The sequence below is a fragment of the Homo sapiens genome, chromosome 21 (genome assembly GCF_000001405.40).
Source record: "Homo sapiens chromosome 21, GRCh38.p14 Primary Assembly".
Classification (NCBI taxonomy): domain Eukaryota; kingdom Metazoa; phylum Chordata; class Mammalia; order Primates; family Hominidae; genus Homo; species Homo sapiens.
The window spans coordinates 13,956,301-13,983,779 of NC_000021.9; the positions used below are offsets into that span (position 1 = coordinate 13,956,301).

At 38.9% G+C, this 27,479-nt stretch overlaps 2 pseudogenes across 1 annotated transcript in view, besides 1 other annotated feature; both read right to left on the bottom strand.

The window, feature by feature from the left end:
* The window catches only part of ANKRD20A11P (ankyrin repeat domain 20 family member A11, pseudogene), a 36,676-nt pseudogene extending 12,532 nt beyond the window's left edge, over nt 1-24,144 (bottom strand). The window contains exon 1 of the transcript NR_027270.1: nt 23,402-24,144. The product of NR_027270.1 is annotated as an ankyrin repeat domain 20 family member A11, pseudogene (transcript). The remainder of the gene's footprint in view (nt 1-23,401) is intronic.
* On the bottom strand, nt 12,189-12,295 carry RNU6-954P (RNA, U6 small nuclear 954, pseudogene; annotated as a pseudogene).
* Nucleotides 18,848-19,142: a silencer, noted in NCBI's record as "tiled region #4483; HepG2 Repressive non-DNase unmatched - State 24:Quies". NCBI's record gives its function as "represses a minimal TATA promoter and a strong SV40 promoter by Sharpr-MPRA in HepG2 cells {active_cell/tissue: HepG2}" and the evidence as "EXISTENCE:reporter gene assay evidence [ECO:0000049][PMID:27701403]".
* Nucleotides 24,145-27,479: the final 3,335 nt, after the last annotated feature.

Genomic DNA, 27,479 nt, shown 5'->3' on the forward strand with positions numbered 1-27,479 from the left:
ATTATATTACTTATAACATTCCATTATATAAAAATTCATTTGTGTATTTATTCAGATTAAACAACTATTAAGGCTGAATGTCTCATGCCTGTAACCCCAGCACTTTGAGAGGCTGAGGCGGGCAGAACACTTGAGCCCAACAGTTAAAGACCAGCCTGGGCAACAAGGCAAAACCCTGTCTCTACAAAACTCAGCCGAGCATGGTGACACAGGTCTATGGTGACATAGCTCTATTGTTTCAACTACTTGGATGGCTGAAGTGTGAGGATCTCCTGAGCCCAGGAAATGGAGATCGGAGTGAGCCAAGATCTCACCAGTGCCCTCCAGCCTGGGTGACAGAGTGAAACCCCATCTCAAAAAACAACAAGTAAAATGTTTCTTACATGGAAGACTGTATTCTAGGTACTCCAGGATACACACAAATATGTTTACTGACCTCCAGTAGCCTATAGTATGCAGGAGCTTCCAATGATTATTTAAACAACTAAATAGAAAACCTTCTGACATTCAAAATTTCAGAATAGGATATAAGGACTTTGAGTGGTTATTTTATTTTTTAAGATGTAGTCTTTCTCTGTCACCCAGGTTGGAGTGCAATGGTGCGATCTTGGCTCACTGCAACCTCCGCCTCCCAGGTTCAAGCGATTCTCCCACCGTGGCCTCCTGAGCAGCTGGGATTACAGGCATGCACCATCACGCCTGGTTAATTTTTGTGCTTCTTTTTTTTTTTTTTTTTTTTTTTTTTTTTTTAGAGACGGTTTCACCATGTTGGCCAGGCTGATCTTGAACTCCTGACCTCAGGTGATCTACCCACCTCAGCCTCCAAAAGTGCTGGGATTACAGGTGTGAGCCACCATGCCCAGCCAAGTAAATATTTTAAATAAACTACAATGACAAAATTATGATGATAAAGTCTTACCATATTGGTATTAAGAGTCTCTGCTTCTAGAACTGGTTATTTGCAGCAAAATACATGTTATTCAATTAGATGAAGTGTTTTATATAAACTCTTCATGGACAACTCATAAAACACACAAAAATCCCTTTGCAATACAAATTTTGAGAACATAAATTTAAATTTCTACGTTTCCACAATTTATATTTTTAAATCAGATACAGTCTTGTTATGTTGCCCAGGCTGTTCTCAAATTCCTGGGATCAAGCAATCTTCCTGCATCAAACTCCCAAGTAGCAGGGACTACAGGTGTACACCACCACACTCAGCTATTTTTCTACAATTTTTAATATTATTTTAGTCCCACTACAGAACCAGTAATATAAGTAGAGAAACAATCTCTCCTAAAAACTATATGATACCAAAATAATAAGTTTCCAAGAACAAAAGCTATATGCTATGTGCTGAACCTTTTTGCAACTAAAAGTTACCAGGAGGATTCCATGATTACTGCAAATAATTTGATCCACTGAAGAGTTATACAGGCATAAATATTATGAAAGTCACACTCATATGATTTAAAAGTCAAAGTATTAGTGTTTATCCAAATAAAGCTTAATCAAATTTCATATTTCCTCTATTGGAGAAAGCATTTCCTAATGTGATTTTCCTGTCACTACTTATTTTCCAGTTCATTTTTTTTCAGCTCCTAACCTGTCACAGTACTTATCAATCTTTGTTAGTTACCAAAGTTAAACACATTTTTTCAATCAACTAGCCATATATATGTTTTTCTCTGACCCACTTTCCATTACCACCATAAAACAATGAAAGGTAAACCACTGCTAAGTTTGAAAAGTAAATACTATGCAAAACTACATTCAGAGTGAGAAAATTAATTTTACAAGAGACCACTTTACCTTAGCAGCAATACTCAAGACTTTGTCATCCAATGCAGGCAATAAATCCACACACAGTTCATGGAAAATGCTTCAGAGCAAAAATACACAATGAAAATGAGCAAGTTGATTTCTTTACAATTTTTTAACTGTCAGTTTATATCCAGCTTCCCCCTCAAAAAAGGAAAGAATAATCTGGGGAAAGGTCAGTGATCTATATATTAAATTATGATTCTTGATATAATTAAAATATGTCCTCTGTTCTAAAAATAGATTTTAGTTACATATTTCTGCCTCCACCTGTCTAAATCTATAAAATATTCAATGAAAACTAACCTTCAGCTTCATAACGAATAGTGACAGTCAATATATTGGCAGAGTCTAACAATAATTTGCCCTCACAAATTATCTGTCCTGAAGCTGAACTTAAAACTCAATTAATGGACGACATAAATTCTGTTACCTAAACTGGAAGAAAATTGATGACCTAAAACAAGGTAGAAAGATCCAGTGTCTCTTTTCCATGATCTATCTCTGGTTAAAAGACTAATCAGCATCACTTCAAAATGGCAGTCTTGATTCCTCAACATGGAACCCACTTACGAATGTCCTATTGCTTTGCCCTAAATTGGTACAGGAAATCCCATGCAATATTTGAAAGGTATGAAAGCCACATGTACAAAAATCAAATAACAAAGGTGTATGTTCTTATTGAGAATACTTTTCCCAGAAATATTAAAATATTAACAATTATAAAATCCCATTATTTTCACTCTATAGGTCCTACTTTATTCAGGTCCACATAAACTAGCAAGCCCTTAAAAGTTTTCATAGGCACTCAGACACCCAAGGAGAGAGACTGCCAGAAAAACAGAGTCCTGGTAGTTGTACCTCTATTTCCCTAAGTACTATCTAAGTATCTGTCTTCCTATGGGCTCCCACTTCCAGATTCTACTTCTGCAGGGCTCCACAGAAGTCTCCAATCTTCAAATCTTCAGCCTATGAAAGCACAGATTCCGGAAAGGATGGCCTCAAATGACCAGGAGTAGGAGCCCTCTATAACCCTGCTCCTGAAAAATAAGCCAACTGGACTCTCCATCACCTGCACCCAGCATAGACACACTACCAACTACCCAACTGAACTCCATGACTGGTTTGCCAGCCAATCATGCCCCTGACCCAGCCTACATGGACATGGGAAGGATATCAGTGAATCGGGAACAGAGGCAGAGGTGAAGAGGCCACCTGTCCTGGGCCACACATCTATGTAGTCCAGCAATCTCCAGCCCCTTAGTACTCCAAGGGCTCTAAGCCACCCCTCTGAAAGTCAGGACAGAAGTAGATGACACCACATTTCTATCTGCTGTAGACACTCCTCCCAGTGTCTCAAAATGTTTTAGCATCTTTCGGTAAAATTCTTCAAGTTTGTCAGTCCTTGATTTAAAAAAAAGGAGCAAACTTTTTAGAGCTCCCTTGAACTCTTTATCAAACTTCTCATAAACCCTAATATTTTGATCTCTTATTGAAGAGTCCATACTCCTATCCAATCCAGTGTTGTTTCTCTTCAAACTTGGCCTTCCCCTGCTCATTCCATTCTTATCTACTTCCATTGGGTTCGCCAGCTAATTCCATTTTCATACCATCCACTGGGTGCACCGGACTCACTCCCATTTGTATTATTAAAGCACATGCAAATAGGATATAAAAAGAAGGAAGAGTACTGGGCCTTAAAATGAGTTCAAATCTCATTTCTGCCAATTCCTGTGTCTAAAAAAAAAAGCATCCTAATCTCTTTGAGCCTCACATTCTCTGAGAATCACTTGACCAGAATGTTCAATACAGGTAAAAATACTAGAAAGTATTTTAATTCATTCTAAGATTCCTTAAAATTCTGTAATTCTATGTCCTCTTGATTCTGTCTATAGGAAAACTGGGAATACATACCCAGCAAAATTTGAAAAAATAATAGAACAAAAGAAACAGCAAGAAAAGCAGAGAAGAAAAATCAAGACAAGATTATACAAAAGTCATGGAAAAAGAAACAAGACTTAAAAAAGTATTATGGAAGTAGCAGAAATACTTGCCTAAATGGAAAACCAAACTGGGAAGTCAAATGATTTCTCTCTAAGACTTGCCTAAACTTGCTTTTGTAAAACTTACAGTCCTATGGACAAAGCTAAGTCAGATCTGCCCTAAAGCCTTTGATGGTAAAAATAAGATACTGGCTACCACTGAAATTGTCAAATTTATTAGGACAAACTCTTCGACTAACCACATTTCTAACAATACTTTAAATGAGAGTTTAAGGTATTTAAGGTATTTAAACTCTCATTAATTTAGAGATTAATTAAATTAATGAATCTGATTAATCTGATTCAGACCTATACCTTGATCCAAGTGCTGCACGGATGTCTACCAATCTATGCTGAGGAGCAAGAGAAGGGATTTGGAAGCCAGGCAGGCTGACGGTCAAACTGTAGGCCAGCTGCTTTGTTAACTATGAGTTTATAAGGCAATTAATCAACTGCTGTAATCCATAGTTGTTTATTTAATAAACAGTAGGTTATAGGAACACAGATGTTGTGATGGCTTTATGAGATGATAAATGCATAGAAGATATTAGGATGTCTAGCCCAGAATACAACACTCAACAGATATTAGTTTCTTCCATCTATATTTTCTTAGTTAACATAATTTTTTAAATCTATAAAATCCTGACTGCAGACTCATCAGAACTTCCAACATCTATTAAAGAAAAAGGTAGAATGCATTTTAAATCAATAATAAATGCACAGAATATTAAAAGCATAACAATGCACAGTGATGCATGCCTGTAATCCAAACTGCTTGGGAGGATGAGGCAGGAGGATCACTTGAGGAATCTAGAAGTTTGAGACCAGCTTGGGAAACATAGTAAGACACTACCTTCATAAAAAAAAATTGTGCACACTTGTGTGTATGCTTTAGATCCTGTTTTTGTTGTTGGTGGTGGTGGTGGTTTTGTTTTGGTTTGTTTTTTAAAAGCATAAGACTGATGCTTTGTTACAAATAATTCCTTTGGGAGCATGCCTGGGACCTTATTAGAATTAACATTAATTTTACCTATTGGTAGGTAATTCATGCAGTAAGAACTCTTCCCTTTGTATTTATTAGATGCAAAGAAGAATAACTTTATTAAAATTTGGTATCTACAAGTGAACTGCAGTTTACAAGTCATCCTAGCCAAACCCTATGAGATTGAGTAAAGATGTTATTGTTAGCAGAACAGGTGTGATGAGTCAACAGTGTCAAAGAGAATGATTTCTGGACCAAAATATGAGGAGCAGTTAAAACAGAGGATACAGTAGTACCCCTTATCCACTATATGTGAGCAAAGACATACTTGACATGTTTTTCTCTGCTCTCACACCACAGCAACAATCATCAACAAAGAAGGCTTCTGTGACCAAATGTGTGGAGAGTTTTCCCCACCAACAAGCAAGCAATCATTCCTGCTGATGGCACAATTCAATTCTCACACCCTATCTTCAGATTACATCAGATTTAATTTATAAATTAAACTTTATCATAGATATGTATGTATAGGAAAAAACAGTTTGTGATTCAGTACTATTCATGGTTTCTTGCATCCACTGGGGGTCTTGGAATGTATCTCCCACAATTAAGGGGGAACTACTGCACTTATTTTGTTATAACACAACACAGCCTCTCTAGCTCTTCAGTTCAAACTGTTCAGTTTAGGATAAAACACCCTATCACCAGAAGCCAGGAAAACATAGGAATCAGACCAGAAACAGGAATCCTTGCAAAAACTTTCCAGCTGCCAGTGGAGAAGATCTCAAGAGAGATCACTGTGTTACTCTGGCTAATACTCTTCTGGGGAAGGTGCTGGGTGGTTTCCTTAGTTGTAGCTATTTGCTCTGCCCTACATATAACAAGGCCCATGTTCACCTGCCATTTTACCTCCCACAGAAAGAACCACTGGAAAGATCACTCCTTTAAGAGCTTATCCACATTCAGAGAGAAGCTGAAGAAACACTGGGGAGGTGTGGCAGGGTGCTGGGCAGTATTATCTCATGTGAAAAATATATAGAAAGAAAACTATCAATGCCCTTTTACTACCGGAATGTTCCAATGCTTGCCGTTCTCCCTAGTAGGAGAAAAAAATTCTTTTTCACCTCACATAAAGCAAAACTCCCTTGCCATCCCTCATAACAGAATCTAGTTGTAGGTGAGTCATGTCATCATAATACAGGCTGTTGTCAACCTCATCCCTCAAAGGAAGAGGATCAGTGAGGAACATATGTATTAACCTATAGCATTCACTGCCTGGTCTTATTTCCAACCGAAGGTAAGTATGAAAGACTGTGTGATTCCAGTTTTATAAAGTACAACCCCTTGCGCTTGTCCCCTTCCATTGCTAGACAGTGTATCTGGACCCACCTCACAGAGCAAGATGCTCCAGTTTGTGCTGTGTGGTACGGCATGGTGTCCTTTTCCTCAACCCTTTCCATTATGTGCCAAATATCTATACAAATCATGTTTTCTAAGTATGTAAAGCATACCTCATCAGCATATATCATTCTTTACAATGATAAAGAAGCAAAAGAAAAACAAAAGGACAAAGAGCATCTTAAATGACTACCTTCAATTGCCATGGAGCTTTAATTTTCTTAATATTCAAAAATATATCCACAGTATTATTCCAACTATGTGACTCTTCTGAAAAAAGTAAAACTATGAAGACAGAGTAAACATCAATGGCTGCCACGAGTTGCTAGGGAGAAAGGGAGAGATGAACAGGCATAGCATAGAGAATTTTTAGGGCAGTGAAACTGTTCTGTCAATAATATAACAGTAATAGATACATGTCATGTCATTATACATTTGTCCAAATTCACAGAATGTACAGCATCAAGAGTGAAGCCTGATGTAAACTATGAACTTTGAGTGATTATAAAGTGTCAATGTAAGTTCATCAGTTGTAACAAATGTACCACACTCTGGTGGAAAATACTAATAATGGGGGAGGCTATGCATGTGTTGGAGGCATGGAATATACAAGAAATCTCTGTACCTTCCCTCAATTTTGCTGTGAACCTAAAACTGCTCTAAGAAATAAAGTTATTGATTTAAAAAAGATATTCACAGCTGGGCTCAGTGGCTCATGCCTGTAACCTCAGCACTTTGGGAGGCATAGGCGGGTGGATCACCTGAGGTCGGCAGTTCAAGACCAGCCTGGCCAACATGGCAAAACCTCACCTCTACTAAATACAAAAATTAGCTGGGCAAGGTGGCAGGCATCTGTAATTTCAGTGACTTGGGAGGCTGAGGCAGGAGAATCACTTGAGCCTAGAAGGCAGAGATTGTGGTTAACCAAAATTGCACCACTGCACTCCAGCCTGGGAGACAGTGAAACTCCATCTCAAAGAAAAAAAAAAAGATATTCACTGTTTATGCAACCCAGGATCTCCAGAACAATAATTAAAATAATAATTTAAAAAAATGGCCGGGCACAGTGGCTTATGCCTGTAATCCTAGCACTTTGGGAGGCCAAGGTGGGTGGATCACCTGAGGTCAGGAATTCCAGACCAGCCTGACCAACATGGTGAAACCCCGTCTCTACTAAATACAAAAGATTAGCCAGGCATGGTGGTGCATGCCTGGTAGTCCCAGGTACTTGGGAGGCTGAGGCAGGAGAATTGCTTGAACCCGGGAGGTGGAGGTGGCAGTGAGCCAAGATTCTGTCATTGTACTGCAGCCTGGGCAACAGAGCAAAACTCTGTCTCAAAAAAATAATAAATAAATAAAAAATAAAGATATTCACTGAACCTGTTATGATGATATATTTAAGCAAGACACCGTGACCCTAAAAATTAGAGATCATTGAAGACCAAAGTAACAGCATGTGGTCATTATATTTCTCAAATTGAAGTATATGAAATATATAAAATAAATAAATTTAATTGCATGCTTAGGTAAGAAAATATTGATAAAAATGATTGAATACTTTATCTTATAATCATAGAGGGATTTAGCACAATATGAAAACTAGATTATTCATGTAATCAAAATAAAATACAATTTTTATTCTAATTTTAACTCAGAAATTATTATGCTTATTTAATTCAACAATTTTACTGAAAGCTTAATGAGATAAAAAGGACAGATTATAATTACCTAACATTGCTATGGTAACTTATATACAAATACCTGTTAGTCACCAAAAGTCAAAAAGTAACCAGCATTGCAACTTAAGATGGATCATACAACAGAAATTAGTACCAAGTTACCTTATCTTATAATATTATGTGTTATTAAAATAAAATTTTAAAACAACACCAAAAATTAAATTGGGGCTATAAGCGTTGTGCAGAAAAGATTTCATATAGCAGGAAAGAGACTGCCATCCTTAGAAAGGCCTGCATGCAAGGCTGGCCCTTGGCTGGTGTTAAGGAAATTGGAATTGGGAGGGTTTCCACCATTCCCTGAGAAGAGTGGCTCACTGTGTCTAAAGTGTTTATAGAAACAGTGTGGTTACTCTGAACATCTGCTTTCCTTGTAAGAGTCTGGAATTTGGGTACATGTAAGGGAGAGTAATTTCCACAGAAAAACTTGGATACTTCATCTCTAATGAGACTCTGGTACTGGTAGACATCACTGCACATATGCTGTCAAAATGTGAGCCTGGGAGAATTAAGCAGATCCCGGGCACTCCACAGGAGAGAACTCCTGGAGGCTTGTGCCTGGTTTCCTCCAGAATTGACCACAAGCACCTTTTTCCTCTACTAATTTTGCTTGTCCCCTTTCTTGTAATCAATTAAAGATCTGAGTATGACTATTTGCTGAGTCCTGTGAGTCCTTCTAGTGAACCACCAAACCTGGGGTGGTCTTGGGAAACCTTGACACAAATACATTGTGTAAGATTTGTATTAAGTTGATATGATATATGTAACTGTAATCAGATGGCTATTTCACAGAATAATTTTTCCTAAACTGTTTTTCTTTTCTTTTTTCCCCTTGATATTTGACTTTGAGATTCTTGTATTTCTATATCTATCCACAGGAATAAAGCCATAAAAGGAATAAATGACACAATAATGTCAGAAAATAATGTGGAATAAGCAGCAATCCTATTTAAACCGAATAAAAAATAGGGAATCTGGGTGATTGACAATATGTTCCATAATATGAATGTTTCTAGAAAAAATAATGAAAAGGTGGTCAATTTTCTGCAACTCAACTGGGCTTAATTCCTTTTTATAATAATTGTGCAGGTCAGGTGCAGTGGCTCTCACCTGTAAATCCCAGCATTTTGGGAGGATGAGGCAGGAGGATCACTTGAGCCCAGAAGTTCCAGACCAGCCTGGGCAATATAGTGAGACCTCATATATTAAACAAAAAATGAAAAACAAAAAAACCTTAAAAAGAAAATTAGCCAAGTGTGGTGGTGCATGCCTGGAGTCCCAGCTACTTGGGAGGCTAAGGTGAAAGGTGAAAGGATAATTTAAGGCCAGGAAGCAGAAGTTGCAGTGAGCCAAGATGGCACCACTGCACTCCAGTGTAGAGCAACAGAGGGAACAGAGGGAACAGAGGGAAACACTGTATCAAAAATAAATAAATAAACAATTGTGTATCAGGCCAGATATAACCATACAAAACTGTAGTCCCAGCTACTCAGGAAGATGAGGTAGGAGGACTGCTTGAGCCCAGGAGTTCAAGGCTACAGTGAGCTATGTTTGCACCAATGAATAGACACTTTATTCTAGCCTAGGCAACATAGAGAGACCCCATCTCCTATAATAATTGATTAATTGTGCATCATTCAAGTAAATTGTATAACTGGAGAAAAACATATGACTATTGAATATACCATAATAGTCTACTACTGATCATAGAGTTCCTGTTTACTTGCTTCTAATCTTTTTCTTTGTTTCTTATAAAACTAAAAACATGATTCACCCATTAAAGGCAGTTCATTACAGAACAAGTCAAAAAGCCAGAAGAATGGCATCCAAACTGTAGATGTGTTATCTACCACTCCCCGCAAACAGTTGGATTTGGTCATTAAGAATCAGCAGGACTTTTAACTTGGTGTCTGTGTGCACATGCGTGTGCACATATGTATGTGTATATGTGCATGTGTCTATGTGTATGTGTATAAACTATGACAGATAAAACCATTTTGCTTGTGTAAGAATATGTAATATAAGTTGTGCTTCTCATGAAGGAATTGCTTTTCTGTCTCCTGTGCTCAGTAGCTATCCTCAAAAAATAATCTCTTATTTGTATGGGTGCATGCTGGTTCAGTTTTACAGTTCGTATTGCCATTTATTTATGGTACCAGAAAGGGATTGCTGAGTTCCTGGTTCTAAAGATAGTTACTTTCTTAGTGACACAAATCAATATGTAATACAGTTCGCCCTTCAACAGCAAGGGTTTCAACTGCAGCGATTCACTTATATGCTGATGTTTTTCTGCCTCTGCAACCCAGAGACAGCAAGATCCACCTGTCCTCTTCCTCCTCAGCCTAATCAACCTGAAGATCTTGAAGACCTTTGTCAGGATCTACTTATGCTTTATGAGAAGTCAATATATCATTCCTGATGATTTTCTTTTTAACAGCTTCATTTCTCTAGCTTACTTTATTGCAAGAACACAGTATATAATAATGCACCACAAACAAAATAGGTGTCTATCAACTGCTTATGTTATCAGGAAGGCTCCCAGTCAATGGTGGGCTATTAGTAGCTAAGGTGAAGGAATCAAAAGTTATACTCAGATTTTCAACTGCACAGGGATCAGAGTCCCTCACCCCCACATTATTCATGGGTCAACTGTAATTATTTGTTTACTAAATATAAACAATTTATTATAAAAATGAAATAGAAGATCCATTTGTATATCAAGTCCAATTTGTTATAATGTGACTATAGAGGAAACATACAACATACTAACTTAAAAATCTTTTTTCTTATTTATGCAGAAATATTATATAGGATTTTAGGGATCATAATTAAATAAAGGAATTTTTTCAGACAATAATGTTTGAGATTATAAGTTAGCTTAACTACCTTCTTAAATAAATCTGAATTTCAAAATAAAGAAGTTAAATTTTAAAAATTAATTTACATATGTATATACATATATGCACATTTAATTTACATATATTTTTAAACTGGTCTTTTTTTATTAACACTACCTTAATCTTACATCTTACTTTTTACTTTCTTATCAAGAGTAGGACCACCAAGAGAAATAAGAAATTCACTATCAGAAGTCTTACCTGGTTTGTCATTTTTAAGTATCATCTTTTTATGTTCCAAAATTTGTTGTTGAATTCTATGTATACAAAAGTAATAAATAAAATTGCTATTTTAATACTGAAATAAAAAATATTTACCAAACATATTAAATTCTAAAACCATTTCAGGCAATATCAGACCTAATATCAGAATTTTAATGTCCCATACACTTCAAATTTTTAAACCTTACAAGCTTATTAAGCTTATAATTAAAGAAGAAAAAAAGTGAAGTACTCATAAATGGAGGAAGCATAGCTCAGTAAATGAACTCTAGTTAGCTGGACATCATGTAACATGTCCTGCACTCAGAATAAGTCCTCACTCTGTAACTAATAGATATTTTGTTTTCAGACAAGTTGCTTCTCTTAGGCTCCCTGGTTTTTTCTAAAAAAGGATTTTGCTACCTTACTTCAGTAGGTTGTTAGGAAGATGTAATAAGATTACATGTTTAAATGTTCAGGAAATAGTAAAGCAATGGAATGATTTATTCTTGAACTTTATTGCTTGGTGTGTGTTTTTCTATAAGTTCTAATATTCAATTGTTGCAGTTTTCAGAAAATGTTATTAAGTGCTAATTTTGGTTATTAGTTGTATTCTTTGTGGCTTGTAATTCAGGGCATTTTACCTAATTCATAACTAATCTGATTAAAATAGATTACCTAATTGTCTCCCATCACTGAGCTCATCAATCACACCAAAGGCAGAAAACTAATAGGTGTCAAAACCTGGGCTTGGACAACTACCACTCCTTCTCTACCTCCTCAAACTCTGAGCCAGCAGATCTGTGCTAGGACGCTGGATCTCCATGGTCCTCTCCAACAAACAGATGAGACAAAACCCTGCTTTTATTGTTTTTCAGTTCCATGAAGGAAATGCAAGTTGACATTTTGTCATTTCCAAGACATGTAGTAGCAACAAGTAACATCCCCTTATTACTCAGCTCTGTTCTCATTTCAGAGATCACCTTACATCAATAGTTTTATAGTGATAATCACAATTTCAATATTGGGTGTCTTCTGTTTTGGTTTCACTCACACTGCTTCCTTGGAGCTACTCAACAAATAGTCAAATGACCTTCCCGGGACTATGCAAAATATGGAATGCTTTCTGAATTTGTGTGCCATCCCTAGGCAGCAGCCATGCTTACCTGCTCTGTATTGATCCAATTTTTAAATATGTGCTGCTGAAACAAGTACAAAGCCCTGTTTGATACATGGATACTCATGAGTTATGGATGAGGCTTAGCTCTGTTAAATCCAACTCACTGACTTTAGATTCAGATAATTTTATTGAATGGCTTCCTGTGAGGTAGAATTTTAAAATATATTTAAAACTCCTGGAAGAGTTGTGATTAGCCCAGGAGATTTTCATTATCATAGAGACACATTACTTGAGGGGCCAATTGCAAGTTGGTTCCCACTACTCGGTGGAAAGATAACATGGAACCTTCTGCTATCTAACCAAAGCTGCTCCACAGGATGTAAAAAAGCCTCAAGGTACAGATCTGATAGCAAAAGAGAAAGGGAACCCTAATCTCTTCCTGCAAAATTATTTGAACATCCCTGACTGTTGAGAGCAATCCCAACTAATATTGGTTAAAGAACAGACAAACACGGGTCTCATAGGATAACTTACCATGAATGCCTAGGCTAAGTCTAGCTAAGATGTGGGCTCCAAATAAGGTTTTTAGTGTAGGGTGAGGATCAACTTGCTCGATATTTGTGTGGGTAAAGCTAGGAGGCCTAGCTGCCAGATCAGGGTGCTGGGAACAATGACTGAGCATAAGTACATAAATTAATAAACCCCCTAGCTTTGAACTCTATGTATGAATCACCACAAAAACTGAGGGGTCTGAATGAGTGAAGGCATCCTGGTGGCAAAGGTCAAACATTATCAGATTGCAGGACTGGTTACAATGGCAAAAATACAGGAATTGAGTCCATGGAAACAACAGAATGATCAGAATGGCCTTTTTCCCCCTTCTTCTGACTTGTAAAGGAAGATTGCCTTCCTTGGGCTTAGGAAACCCCTTAGCTTCTTGGAAAATCCAAAGAAGGAAGACACAGGAGATAGCCCCAGGGGAAAATACAAGATTTTCTGCTAAATTGGACATTTCAAGACCCAATAACTAATTAGAAAAGTCAGGCCAGGCATGGTGGCTAGCACTGTGAGAGGCCGAGGCAGGTGGATTACTTGAGCTCAGGAGTTCAAGACCAGCCAGGGCAACAGAGTGAGACCTTGTTTCAAGGAAAAAAAAAGAAAAGAAAAGAAAGGAAAAGAAGTAAAAAATGTGGCTCTTTTTATCCCATGCATGGGGATTATACTTAGAATAAAATGAACAACATTGAGATCCCTAGGGATAAAGGTCTTAAAAATCCTGAAAACATCTTGCACTCTACTTCTAACTAATCTAGACTTCTGCTTGATTTCTGGCTAAAAGGTAGACTAACTCATTGCTATTTCAAACCATCTGAACAAAACTAGGAACTCTCACCTAATGTATAAGATGGAATAGTTGCAATTATTTTAAACTTCAATTCAATATTAACTGGCCTTTTAACATAAACACTTACTTTGTCAAACGGCAAGAAATAGCGTAATCTTCTGCATCTTGTCCATACATGTCTTGAGTAAAGACATTAATATTTTGCTTAAGAAGGATGTTGACAATACCCGGTGAGTCATAGTGCACAGCAAGCATGAGGGCTGTTCTAAAATAACAAAGAAATCACTCCACTCAAGAACTTTAATAAAGACTTTTTTAAACAGCTAGTTTGATACACTTTACCAATTTAATATCCACCTGTCAGTGTAGACATAATAACATTTTGCATGTACTAGCTTGGGTCTATAAGCATCTAGGGTTCTCAGGTGTTCATCTTTATAAATTGTCACCAAGGCTAAAAGAAAAGGACAACAAGGAAGGCTCTTGTCCCACTGGGGTAAGACATAATACAAGTTGCTAACTCATAGTCCTTTGATAGCCAAGAAACTGTGCTGAGGTCACTTATCTAAAGTAGGTAAAGATTTAGATGAAGATTTCCCCATTGCTTTCCTAGTCTGATATACTGTAATTTATATCAGCTAGGGGTCAGATAAGAGCTATCTGCAGACTGAAAACGACAACAACAATGATGATGATGACAATACTAGTAGTCATAAACTAAAAGTCCACACTTTAAAAATAAATAAAACTGGCCAGGTGCAGGGGCTCATGCCTGTAATCCCAGCACTTTGAGGAGCCAAGGAGAGCAGATCACAAGGTCAAGAGATCGAGACCATCCTGGCCAACATGGTGAAATCCCATCTCTACTAAAAATACAAAAATTAGCTGGGCATGGCGGTGCATGCCTGTAGTCCCAGCTACTTGGAAGGCTGAGGCAGGAGAATCTCTTGAGCCTGAGAGGTGGAGGTTGCAGTGAGCCAAGATCACACCACTGTACTCCAGCCTGGCAACAGAGCCAGATTGCATCTCAAAAAAAACTTAATAAAGCTAATACAAAACCCTTTAGCTAATAAAAGATTACAGTACCAAAAACATCCAATTATAAATAACAAACACTCTGTATTATAGGAGAAGATGAATCCTACTATATACTGTTCTTTATGTTACTCAGTCCAAATATTTGCTGATCTATCTGATTATTCATGGTGATATTTTTCACTATATGCCAGTAATTATATTAATCTTCTTATTAATATTTCTGACTTGAGTGACTGTTACCACTCTAGAATACTCAGGTTTTATTTAAAAAGAACTACTGTACCATCTCAGGCTATCAACGGCATGTGTACTTGCTTTGTTTTTCAATAAAAATTCCACCATTTTCTCTTTCTTGCAAATTATAGCAAATAAAAGTGGGGTATTATTGTCCTATAAAACAGCAGAAAAAATTAATAATTCACAAAATTACATATTTCTCAACTGAACTGAAAATCTTCTCTAAGGTGCTTTGAACTTCAACATACAATATAGAAAGGAAGTAAATGAAAAGCAGTCCCTTCCTTCTCACTCCTCTGTGCTTTCTGATGTGCTGCTTTTTGCCTTGCAAACAACCCTCCTCTGTCTCCCTGGATTAACTGTGGTCATTGCCAAAACTCACTTTAAACATTTACCAGTCCCAAGAATCCTTGCTTTGATCACAGCACTTAGCATGGTACATTGTAATCATTTCACTGTGTCCCACTGAAACCAAGAGCTTCTTGAGGCAAGGGCTGTATCTTTTGTCTCTATGGCCCCAAAACCCTAAGACACAGTAGCAAACATTTTAAGTTTTTTACATAAATTAATGATCTAAATTATTCTCACTAAAGCAGTGTTTCTTAAACTATATTCCAAAGAATATTTGCCTTACCAGAAGTATTATACCCCAAGAGAAAGACTCCATGACCATCTGCATTTGAGAAGTATTATAAAACTGTATGTTATGTCCAATAATCAAGGAATCTCTTGAATTTTACCTAATCCCCATTTGACAATACTATTTGTGGCAAACATTAACATTTGAGGAATTAAGAGTTTTAGGGGTACAGTTGCCAGAGCTTCCCAATGCAGGTGGAGGTTTTTTCTGGGTGGTACAGACTTGCTTGACTCACTTCTATCAATGGTGTCAGGATCCCAGATGCGAATGTCAGGCACTCCTGATCCAAATGGGTCACTATGGAAATGAGCTTTGAATTAAGAGAGATTGGCTTCAAATGCACTTATTTTCCTTATTATTAAATAGTCCATGGGTTTTTTTCCCTAATACAAGAGAATAGATTTTTATCTTTACTGTTCAAAAGCTCAGTATGTTCTGTGTAAGAGAAATAGGTTTAAAAAACTTAAGAACAAATATTTAAAAAACCAAAGCTCAGTAAGAAATACTATTCTCAATTATAATGGTAATCCCGGGACCCCAGGGCAGCTCTACTTTTTAAATCCATTTTTATTGGCTTCCACTTAAAGGGCTACTTAAAATTATTTTTTATTTTAGACAAAATATAAATCCAAAATAAAAACATAATGGCTTATCAAAAAAATTCTCATACTGATCCATATGAATTATTTCTGGCATAATAAAAGCCAGTAAGTCACTTGCATTTCTAAGGAAGAGCACTGAGGAGAAAGATGTAATGTCTGCAATATTCAGAAATTATCCAACTATAACCAGGAATAACCTAAAAAGGCTTCTAGGCATTCTTATGGGCAGATAATTATTTGTGGTATATATAAAGAAAAGTTTCAAAAACTTCTAAATTCTAAAATTCAACTCCATAACTGAGGGATTTATATACTCTATAGACTATATATTATAACAAATATGTGCTGACTTAAAAACCTTGAAATCTTTATCAAAATATACTATAACATAGGAGTTGTAAACTCAAATACTTACAAGGACAAAGGAAGGTTGCCTGAGTAAAGGAAGTACTAAGGTGGGCACAGTAGGAAACTGGAGAATACCTGCCTTTTCTAAAGGGGCAACCTCTGCACAGCAGACCAAACAGTGATAGAAACTCAGGGGACACCAGATTTGATTTTTTAAAATAAGCCTGAAGTCCAGATTTCTACACCAGTCTTCTAAATTTTACATGTTGATTCAACTTATAGAGGAAAACAAACAAATCTGTGTACCACATTAGAATATAGCCCTTGTGTTTTTATATTCGCTATTAATGTGTTACTAAATGGTTGTGTATAATCCAGGTATTTGCATGTAAAATATTTTCTTTCTCTAGTATCATATGTTTTACCAAAAAATCAGGCTCTCATATATAATAAAAATTGCTCAAAAAGACTCATAATACCTGCTTCAAGAATTTTTCCAACACTTATTCATTTAAAATATATTTGTATATAATTTTCCCAGATTGTTAACCAAATAGATAATTGGTTCATAGGACTGCTAAAACTAAATTATTAAAAGAATTCATATCTGTATTTTTATTAACTCCATGGACTTCAGTGTTTAAAACTGACATTTTGGGTATGCTAAAGCTCTATAAACTTAACAAACGTACTGAGCCAGTTCATAATACAACTTCAACTAAAAAAAATAGTTTAGGATTTGCTACTATTCTAATTGAGAAAGCCCAACTTGTAATGAACATTTGTTGACACGTAATTACATGCATGGTGACAAAGGGACATCAAATCATGAAAGGGTCAGCCTCTACTTATTGAAAGATTACGCATAAGCAAATTTCTAAAAACTCTGAATGTCAGTGAATGATTAATGGTGGGAAGGAAAAGTGTTATTCTGTAAGCTGAGAGATATTGCCAGTAATATTTCCTTTCACTTCCCAGTCACAAATGTAGAGAAAGACAGATAAGTCAGGCTAATTTACTGAAAAGGAGAACTTTGAAGGAAGTAGCACCTATCAAATGCCAATTCTTCTAGAGATTTCTTACGTTTTTGAGATACAGAAATTTATATGTTGCACTTATCTGTTCTGGGGTTCTTAATCAGGAGTGTATCCTAAACTTGAGGGTTTTTGTGTGTGTGTGTGTGTGTGTGTGTGTGTGTGTGTGTGCTGTTATTGTTGTTAGAGGCAAGAGTCTCACTATGTTGCTCAAGCTGAACTTAAACTCAGGCTCAAGCTGGGACTACAGGAACATGTCACTGTGCCCAGCTTCAAGAAAATGTTTTTAAAAATGTTCAGGCCTTATTAGGTCTATTACATCAAAATCCTCAGGGGAAAGCCTACAATTGTAGATTTTTAACAAAATGTCCTCAGGTCGCTGTAATGCACAATTCTGAGAATTAGTGCAGCAATCACTTCAGTCTCATCTCTCACCCGCATGGCTAGTTCCCTTTATCAGTTGGACATGTGGCCAAAAAGAGAAAAGAGTAAGAGATAGTGTCATTTATTAAAGCTCCAGTTAAGTTTCCTGGGTATGGGTAGAACACAAACAAGTAAACTGAAAATCCCACTTGATTTTGCTATTTACAAGCTCCTTATCTCCCACCTTCCCACCAAGACATTCTAGGTTTGAGAGGAGTCTTTAGACTCTTATCTAAGTGGCTGTTTCTGCCAGGATGGGCAATAAGTCAGTTAATAATTTGTTCCACCTTCTGCTGAAGTGTTTCTCACTTCACCACCACATATTCACTGCCAACCTGGTTTCCTCAAAGTCTTCCTAAAATTCATCTCTAGGCAAGTTTCAACTCACTCTCATTTTCAAACCAAAAATTATTAGACCCAAAGCTAAGGAGCACCTTGTCTCAACACATAAACTGGAAGAACAGCAAACTAAGAGAAAAAAAAAAAACTCTTCATAGCATTTTCCCTCATTACCTAATTTCCAAGTGACCTGCATATTTCTGATTGCTCCCCTTTTCCCTTCCCATTTTCCCCTGTTAAGCCCTGTGCCACTGAGAGATGATTCATCAGTTTTTCAGAAAATTATCAGCAGCAGCAACATGTCCACTTATTGTAAGTTGCTTTAGTTTTGTTTGAGTTTTAAGATAAAGCCTATTTCCAGGGCATATTTTCTTTCCTGTGTTGTTTTATGCTAATTAGGGGGAATAAAAGGAAAGATAACCCTGCACAGAAAAAAAGTTGAAAAAGTTTTACCTTTAACAAATTCACAAATATTTTCCAAAGTGTGTTTTATAAAGCTGTACCCTTTAATGCTCCTTTAAAGGTATCAATATTTAAAATAAAATCTTAGACAATTATTTCAAAATAATTTGCATTTGCATTCAGGGAATGGTTGAGCTTCCAAATATAAAAAATTGACCCTTACCTATGTCAATGTTAAAACAAATATTTTGGAAAGAAAGTTGATTGATCTATACCTTGTCCAGTGCTTCAATATTTGCACCATGGAAAAGCAGTTTTTCTGCCAGTGAGGTGCTCTCACTATACACAGCATAATGGAGAGCAGTGTTGCCGTAGATACCCTTAAGGTTTGGAATGGTGCCATCTTCCAGCAGAATAACGGCACAAGACTCCTCCTGGCAATGGACAGCCTTTCCGTATTAGACCAAGAAACAGATTGTAAATTCCAAGAATTCAAAATACACATTCCACAGGTTTCACCAACTAGTTATATGTAAATGAGATCAATTTATTTTAATTCTATGTATGCAAATCAAATCCATGTCATGCTAAAAGAGTTGGCTCTAATATACCTGTATCAAAGGTGTTCTATTTTCTTTGTCACAGATATCAATCTGGCATTTTCTGTTAACCAGGAGAGTGACCACTTTCACATGGCCACTGGCACAGGCCAAATGTAGAGCAGTTCTATGAGAGTAAGAGGACTTTTCAGGAAACTGTAGTGCAACATCTCAAAACATACAATCATTCATGTAACTGTAAAAAATGAATAGCATGTTTTTCCTCTGCCTTCAAAACAAATACTTATTTTTTTTTTTTGAAGAAAGTACAATACTTACTAGCTCTGATTGCTCATTGCCTTAATGAAAACAGCAGCCTATTTGAATAGAAAGAGCTCAGTCTTTGGATTCAGTTCAATTAGGGTTTGAGTCCTACTTTAAACCCTGTCACTTACCAACTATTTCTTAGCCTTTCTGTGCCTCAACTTCCTCATTAATGAAGATGACAATAGTAGCTATCTCATAGGACACCATCGTGATGCTTAAATGAGAAGCTATGTATTTAGAATAGTTCCTACAACTCAATAATTGTAAGATTTTTGTTTTTTGAGACAAGTCTCACTCTTTTGCCCAGGCTGGAGTGCAATGATGTAACTATAGCTCACTGCAGCCTGGAACTCCTGGGCTCAAGCGATCTTCCATCCCCAGCCACCTGAGTAGCTGGGACCACAGATGTGCACCAGCATGCCCAGCTATTTATTTAAAAATTTTTGAAGAGTAAGAATCTCACTTTGTTGCCCAGGATGGTCTCAAACTCCTGACATCCAGCAATCCTCTCACCTTAGCCTCCCAAAGTTCTGGGATTACAGGTGTGAGCCACTGCACCCAGCCAAATATTATAATTGTTACTATTACTACTACTTAACAAAAACATTTTAATTAGGTAAAAGACACAATTATACCTACTTTGCAGAATGGCTTAAAGAGTAGGTCACATTTTAATACTTCTGACATTGGAATGCCACTTATATTGTTATAACTACAATTGGTAGCATTTTTAAAATTATCTTATTGATATATAAAATAGCGGGGCATCACACAATCCATGAGACCTTACATTAAGTAGAATATGGTATACTCAGCAGGTCTAGGGCAGTTCTAGGCATATAACTGGCATGTAAATACATTTTAGTTCTTAAAGGTACTATGGGGATAGAGCACTGAAATAACAATAATGCATTTTTTAAACAAATTAATTCCTTGATTTTCAAACAAACTGAAGCCAAAGGAAACTCATGATTCAAATGAATACATACGGCTCATTTTATTCAATATTTATACTTACAGAATATATGCAAATAAGACTTTCCAATGATTAATATTAGTATTTAAGACTGATAAACTTTTGAATGGGCAGTTAAAGGTTATCTTCTACTATTTTCTAACTTCAGAAATGCTTTTGTTTGAAAGGTGGGAGATAAAGTTTCAAGGAGATTAAGTCCCAATATTCCTATATTAAATCTCTCAGCTTGTGCAGGCAGGGCAGGTAAACATGTAGTTTTTAAGGATAGAAGCGTCCTGAGAGATAGTAGAATATGTCTGCTACATAACAGGTACTCAGGTTATGTTTGATGAATAAATGGAATGAAAGAATGGATAAATACAGTTGGGGAGATCGATATTTTTAAATAAACTCCTATAAAGCAATATTTTTGCAATAGTATTTATATATTATTTTTATTTTTAAAGAATACAATTAAAATGAAATTATTAATCTATCATTGTTTGCATAAATTGAATGAATATATAAGAAAAACATATGTACATAATAAAATATATAGGTAATAAAATCTGGAAACAGATAAAAACATTCCCTTTTTACTTCTGAAGAGGCTAAAAGTTCAAAGAAGATAACAATACACACAATAATGATAAAAATAGAAAGTGAGAAATTATTTTTAATAATGTAAGATTCATATTCCTCTCTTCCTGAGGATTATTCCTTTATTAATAAACTTTACTAGAAGTTTTGTACATGCTCACTGCAGCAATCACAGATAAGAAAAAGGAAAAGAACTTTACTTAAAATACAAATGCTCAGAAATTACAAATTTTATATTTTGTACATATTTTTTGCTAAAACAAGACCATAGTATGTTTGTGTGTATGTATAATTTAATTGATTTTTTTCCTCACTAGCTATAACAAAATACATTTTCGCACATCAATATACTTCTGTATCTATTGCCACCTTCAATGGTCACATATTATTCCATCTTATGGATGCAACTGAAATTTATTTATAGGATCCATTCTATGGGTTCTTTTTAAAATAAGTGCTGTGAAAAATAAAGTGCATGTATCTTTATTTACTAAGGGTGTTTTAGTATAATGGAATTGATGGGTAAAGGGCATACATATTTTTTAAATGTAGTACTTACCACCAAATTACCTATTTGAAAAGTAATCAGCAACTTAAACTTTAAACAGGAGTATAAAACATCCTCACAAATATTGTGGATAGAAAACTGTTTCATTCCTCTTTTAATTTAAATTCTTATACCAGAAATGCGAAGGACTTTTTGCTATGTACACAAATAACTTGCAGATCTGGAAAAAAGTACTTTGCCCAATTTTAAAGTTTTTGATGATTAGATTTGAAAGAATTCCCTGTAAAATGAAAATGTACTTTTCATCTAATGTGTATATATACATACAACTTTTCATCTAATGTGTATATATAACTGATATATATATAACAGATTATATCTGTAATAATATATATGGTATATGTATCAGCAATATATATATCATATGATATATAATAAACAATATAGGCTGGGGACGGTAGCTCATGCCTGTAATCCAAGCACTTTGGGAAGCCGAGGCAGGCAGATCACTTGAGCTCAGGAGTTCAAGACCAGCCTGGCCAACATGGTGAAACCCCTCTCTACTAAAAATAGAAAAATTAGCCAGGCATGCTGGCACCTGCCTGTAACCCCAGCTACTTGGGAGGCTGAGCGAGGAGAATTGCTTGAACCCGGGAGGCAGCGGTTGCAGTGAGCCAAGATTGTGCCATTGGACACCAGCCTGGGCAAAGAAGTGAGACTCTGACTCAAAAAAAAAAAAAAAAAAAAAAGAAGAAAAAGAATATAATGAATTCCCTCTAAAATGAAAACACACTTTTCATCTGAATATATATATATAATATAGTTAATATTTTTCAAGTAAGCTCTCTTTTGTTATTTTTTTTCTGAAACACAGGCAGTTTTAATTTTTAGTTTGCTAAATCAACCTTCAGAATGCCTGCTTATGAGGTCATTCTTAGGAAGGCTTTTGTCAACATAAAGTGTACCTGTAAAATAAGCGTTTGTGTTTTCTTCCGGTACTTTACTCATTTTCATATGTAAAAATTTCAATCTGTATTCCATCAGGAACTCATGTTTGTGACATAAAATTTCATTAGTTTTCTTCAAACAGCAGACATTTTTTCGTTAATAATTCATCCTTTCGTACTCATTAATCCTTACGTATATCTTACATAATTTCAGTGTTTCTGGGTTGCCTATTCTGTTCTATGCGTTTGTCTTTTCAGCTGTTAGTAAACAATTAATTGTAGAAATTAATAGCACATTTTGATATCTAGAGGAGCAAGTGTTTTTTCACTCCATTATGAAATTTTTTAAAATGTCATCACAATAGCGAAAGACAGGAGGTGTAATACAAAAATCTTAAAACCTTGATATTTTCATTCGGTCTATGTAAAACTGATTAACACAGAAAGAGCTCACATTTTGAGGAAAATGTGCCTTCCCATTCAAGAACACAGAAGCCACCTCCCACTTCCAAGTTTCTCTCTAAGAACCTTCAGTAAAGAACCTACCTACACAGGGGGATACGGATGTAAAACGGACAGTTTTATCTGAGAACTTTTCGCCTACTGAAAATAACTCACGGTATTTTTGACAGGGGAATGAGTTCTCTCATTAGGCACCTCCTATAATGTATATAAACCATGTTTTAAACGTGTACGTTAAAATTAACAACACTATATGCTTAACTTTGTGAGTTAAATCACTCAAATTCTCCACCAACTGCTCCAGCCAGGGAATTATGAGGGATGGAAAACAGCTGAGGGTCCGTTTGGCTCCGCCGCTCAGAGGGTGCCCGGCGACCTCCAAGGCCCCCGTCCCAGGGGCTGCCGGAAAGCCGGACCTGGGGACCCCCTGCCACCCCGGGCTGAGCCCCCGCTACCTGTGCTGCTTGTCCAGGGCGTCCAGGTCTCCGCTCCTGCGCGCCAGACAGCGCTCCATCTCCGCGGCGTCGCCCTTGACAGCTGCCTTGTGGATCTTCTGCAGTTCCGAGTACCGGATTCGGTACCCGGAACCCGTGTACAGGTGGTCTATGGTGCCCAGGACCGTCTGGCCCCTGTGGCTCCTGAAGCCGAACAACTTCATGGTGGTGACTTCTCAGACTCCCAACCAACTGCTCTTGAGAGGAGGCAGCTCCCTGTCACCTTTTCACCTCCCCGCCCCTGCCCCCGCCGACCCAGCCCCAAATCCCCTATCCAACCCCAAATCCGCAATCCAACCCCCAATCGGCGATCCCAAATCTATTATCTAATCCAAAATCCGCGATCCAGCCCGGTCCACCACAGCCTTCAGCAGCGACACTCGCAGCCTCCGACCTCTCAGACCGAGTGAGCCTCGCAAAGCCTTTGGGCGCGCGCCTGCACCGCGGTGGCCGCCCGGCTCCCGGAAGTCGCTCGGAGGCGGCACGCACTGGCAGGTGGGGCTGCAGCTGCGAGAGGGGGCGGGCCTGGGAACCACCGCGGGTGTGCGGGCCTTGCCATTCTCAAGATTCCTGCGGAAACGCTGTGCGCTGGCTGCGCTCCAGGAGCAGGAGCAGGAGGAGGTCGCCCTCTAGAGTCTGGAGTCTGGGGAGAGGAGGAAGGCTCCTTCTTTGTAGGCCACTGGTGTTGCTGAAACCTCTGCCGCCACCTGCAGGGCACCCCCTGATAGCGCCCCTAACCCGCCGCCAGCTATTGGACCCGGGATGGCGCCCCTAACACCCTCCCCTCGCCGCTGCAGTGTAGAAACCCAATAGCGTCCCGAACCCGTCCCCGCCTCAGACGTTGCAGCACCAGATAACTCCCCCAACCTGCCCCCTGCCGTGGGCCATGCAGCCACGGATTGGACCCCCAACCAACTCCCTCGCCGCTGGCAGTGACGCCCCAGAAAGCGCTGCAACCTGATCCCCGCCGTGAATAGTGCAGCCACGGATCCTTAAGGCCCCCAACCCGCTCCCCACGATGGGCAGTGCCCTCCCAGATAGCGGATAGCACTCCCAACCATCCCCCAGCCGCGGGGTATGATGCCCTGGATAGCGCACCCAACCCGCACCCCCCGCCCCGTGGACAGCTTAGCCCCCGACAGCTCCCCTAACCCGTATGCCACTACCGAGAATATGGTCCCGATAGCGCACCAAACCTGACTCCCGCCACAGGCAGTGCAGCAGCTGATAGCTCCCCTAACTCGCTCCCACTGACCACAGTACAGCCCCCTAATGATGCACACAACCCACCACACCTCCCCACCTGCCACCGGTGGGGTATCGCCCCCAAACTGCCCCTTGCCGCTGGCAGTGTAGCCCCCAATAGCGCACCCAACGCCCCCCTCTATCATGAGTAGTCTGGCCCGCGATAGGGCCTGAAACCACCCCCTCCAATCACCTCCCTGTACCCCCCTTTCCCGCCCCCCCCCCACCTGCAGTGTACCACCGGATACTGCCCCTAACCTATCCCCTGCGGGGGGCATTGCAGCCCCAGATAGCGCCCCCAACAAGTCCCCCGCCGCGGGCGGTGCAGCCCCCAAACCACCCCCCCACCCCACTATGGGCAATGAAGCCAGACCAGTCAGCACCCCGACCAGTCCCCCCACCCCGGCGCCGCCGGCAGTGTAACCACAGTAGCGGCCCTAACCCGCCCCCTGTCGCGGGCAGTGTAGCACCCAATAGGGCCCCCAACCAGCCCTACTGCTGCTGGCAGTACAGCCCAGGATAGTGCCCCCAACCTGCCCCCCCCCCCCCCCGCTGCTGCAGGCAGCGCAGCCCGGGATAGCACACCTAAAGTAGTGACGCCCGGAATAACACCCCTACCGGCCCCCGGCCGCGGGCAATGTAGCCCCGGATAGCGCACCTACCCAATCGCCTTTCTACGCTCTGGCCGGCTGCAGTGTCCGCTGCTGCCACCCACAGCAGCGAGGCGAGCCAGCGAGGCCAGCCGCAGTCCCACAGACTCTAGCCTCCAGCCTGTGGTAGGTGCCTCCTCTTTCCCTTCCTGTATCCAGGCAAGGAGCAGCTCTCGCTGCCAGCCGCCTGTCTCCATCACCGCCACACACTATGCAGAGGCAAGCCCTGGTGCCACAGGATCCAGCCTCCAGCCCCAGCGTGTGGCGGGGGACTCCGCTTTCGCCTTCTTTAAGGTGCGAACGGAGGGGTTGGGAACGCTGAGGCACAACAGCCTGCAATGGCGCAACTCCCCCTTAGCATGCTTTATATACTGAGGTTATGCAAGCCAGGTTCCTGGACTTCATGTTCTGATTGGATGAGAGAAAACCGCTAGGCCTGCTAGTTGGGGGCACTATCCCAGACTGTATTGCCGGCAGCAGTGAGGTGGGTTAAGGGTGCTATCCAGGGCTGCACTGCTCGGGGGTGCGGGTGGGGGGGGTTTGGGTTTAGGCACTATGGGGTGCTGCAATGCCCACGGTGCAGGAAGAGGGGGAAGTTTGGGTGTGTTGGGTGCGCTATGGGGTGGGGGGGCTACACTGCTGGTGGCAGGGGGCGGGGTTGGTTGGGGACCATATCAGGGGCTGCACTGATTGCTTTAGCTAGGATTTCCAATACTATGTTAAGTAACAGTGGTGACAGTGGGCATCCTTATCATGTTCCAGATCTTAGAGGAAAAGCTTTCCATTTTCCCCCATTCCATATGATTCTAGCTGTGAGTCTCTCTCTTGTGGTTTTTATTATGTTGCAGTTATGTTTCTTCTGTACTTGGTTTTTTGAGGATTTATAACATGAAGGAATGCTGAATTTCATCAAATGCTTTTTCAGTTTCAGTTGACATAATCATACTGTTTTGTCGTTTATTTGGTTGATATGATGTATCACATTGAGTGTTGAATGACCCTTGCATCCCAGGGATACATCCTACTTGATCCTGATGAATTATCTTTTTAATGTATTGCTGAATTTGATTTGCTGGTATTTTGTTGAGGATGTTTGCACCAATATTAGAGATACTGGCCTGTAGTTTCCTTCTTTGATGTCTTTGTCTGATTTTGGTATGAGGGTAATAATGGCCCCACAGAATAAGTTTGGAAGTATTCCCTGCTGTTTTTCAAAATAGTTTGAGTAGGATTGGTACTAGGTCTGTAAATGTGTGGTGTGAAACCATCAGCAGTGAAGCCATTGGTTCCTGGGCTTTTTTTTACTGGGAGACTTTTTCTGATGGCTTCGATCTCATTACTTGTTACCGATCTGTTCTGGTCTTGGATGTTTTCACTGTTCAAACTAGGTAGGTTGTATGCGTCTAGGATTTCTACTAGGCTTTCTAATTTATTGGCATATAATAGCCAGTTAAGATCCTTTGAATTTCTGAAGTATCAGTTGTAATGTCTCCTATTTTATTTTTTGATTTTATTTATTTGAATCTTCTCTCTTTTTTCTTAGGCAGCCTGGCTAAAAGTTTGTCAGTTTTGTGTAGCTTTCCAGAAAACCAACTTTTTGTTTAATTTTGTGTATTTTTTTAATTTCAACTTTATTTCTGCTATGATCTTTATTATTTCTTTTCTTATTTTGGGTTTAGTTTGTTCTTACTTTACTAGTTCTTTAAGATGTATGGTTTATTTGAAGTTTTTCTTCTGTTTGGATGGTAGGCACTTATAGCTATGAAACTCTGCCTTTGTACTGTTTTTGGCATATCATAAGTTTTGGTATATTGTGTCTTCATTACCATTTGTTTCATGAAATTTTTCAATTTCCATCTTATATCTTCATTGACCCACTAGTCATTCATTCAGGAGTGTATTATTTAACTTCCATGTGACTGTATGGTTTCCAAAATTCTTCTTCTTATTGATACCTAGTTTTATTCTTTTGTAGTCAAAGAAGATGGCCATGGAGACAGCAGCGTGGTCGGAGTGGTAGCAGGCAGCCATCAGCAAGAGCTGCTCCGTGCCAGGCTGCTGGAGGCTAGAGCCTGTGGCCCAGTGGCTTGCCTCACTGTGGTTGGTGGTGGTGGTGACAGAGACTGCAGCATGACCAGAGTGAT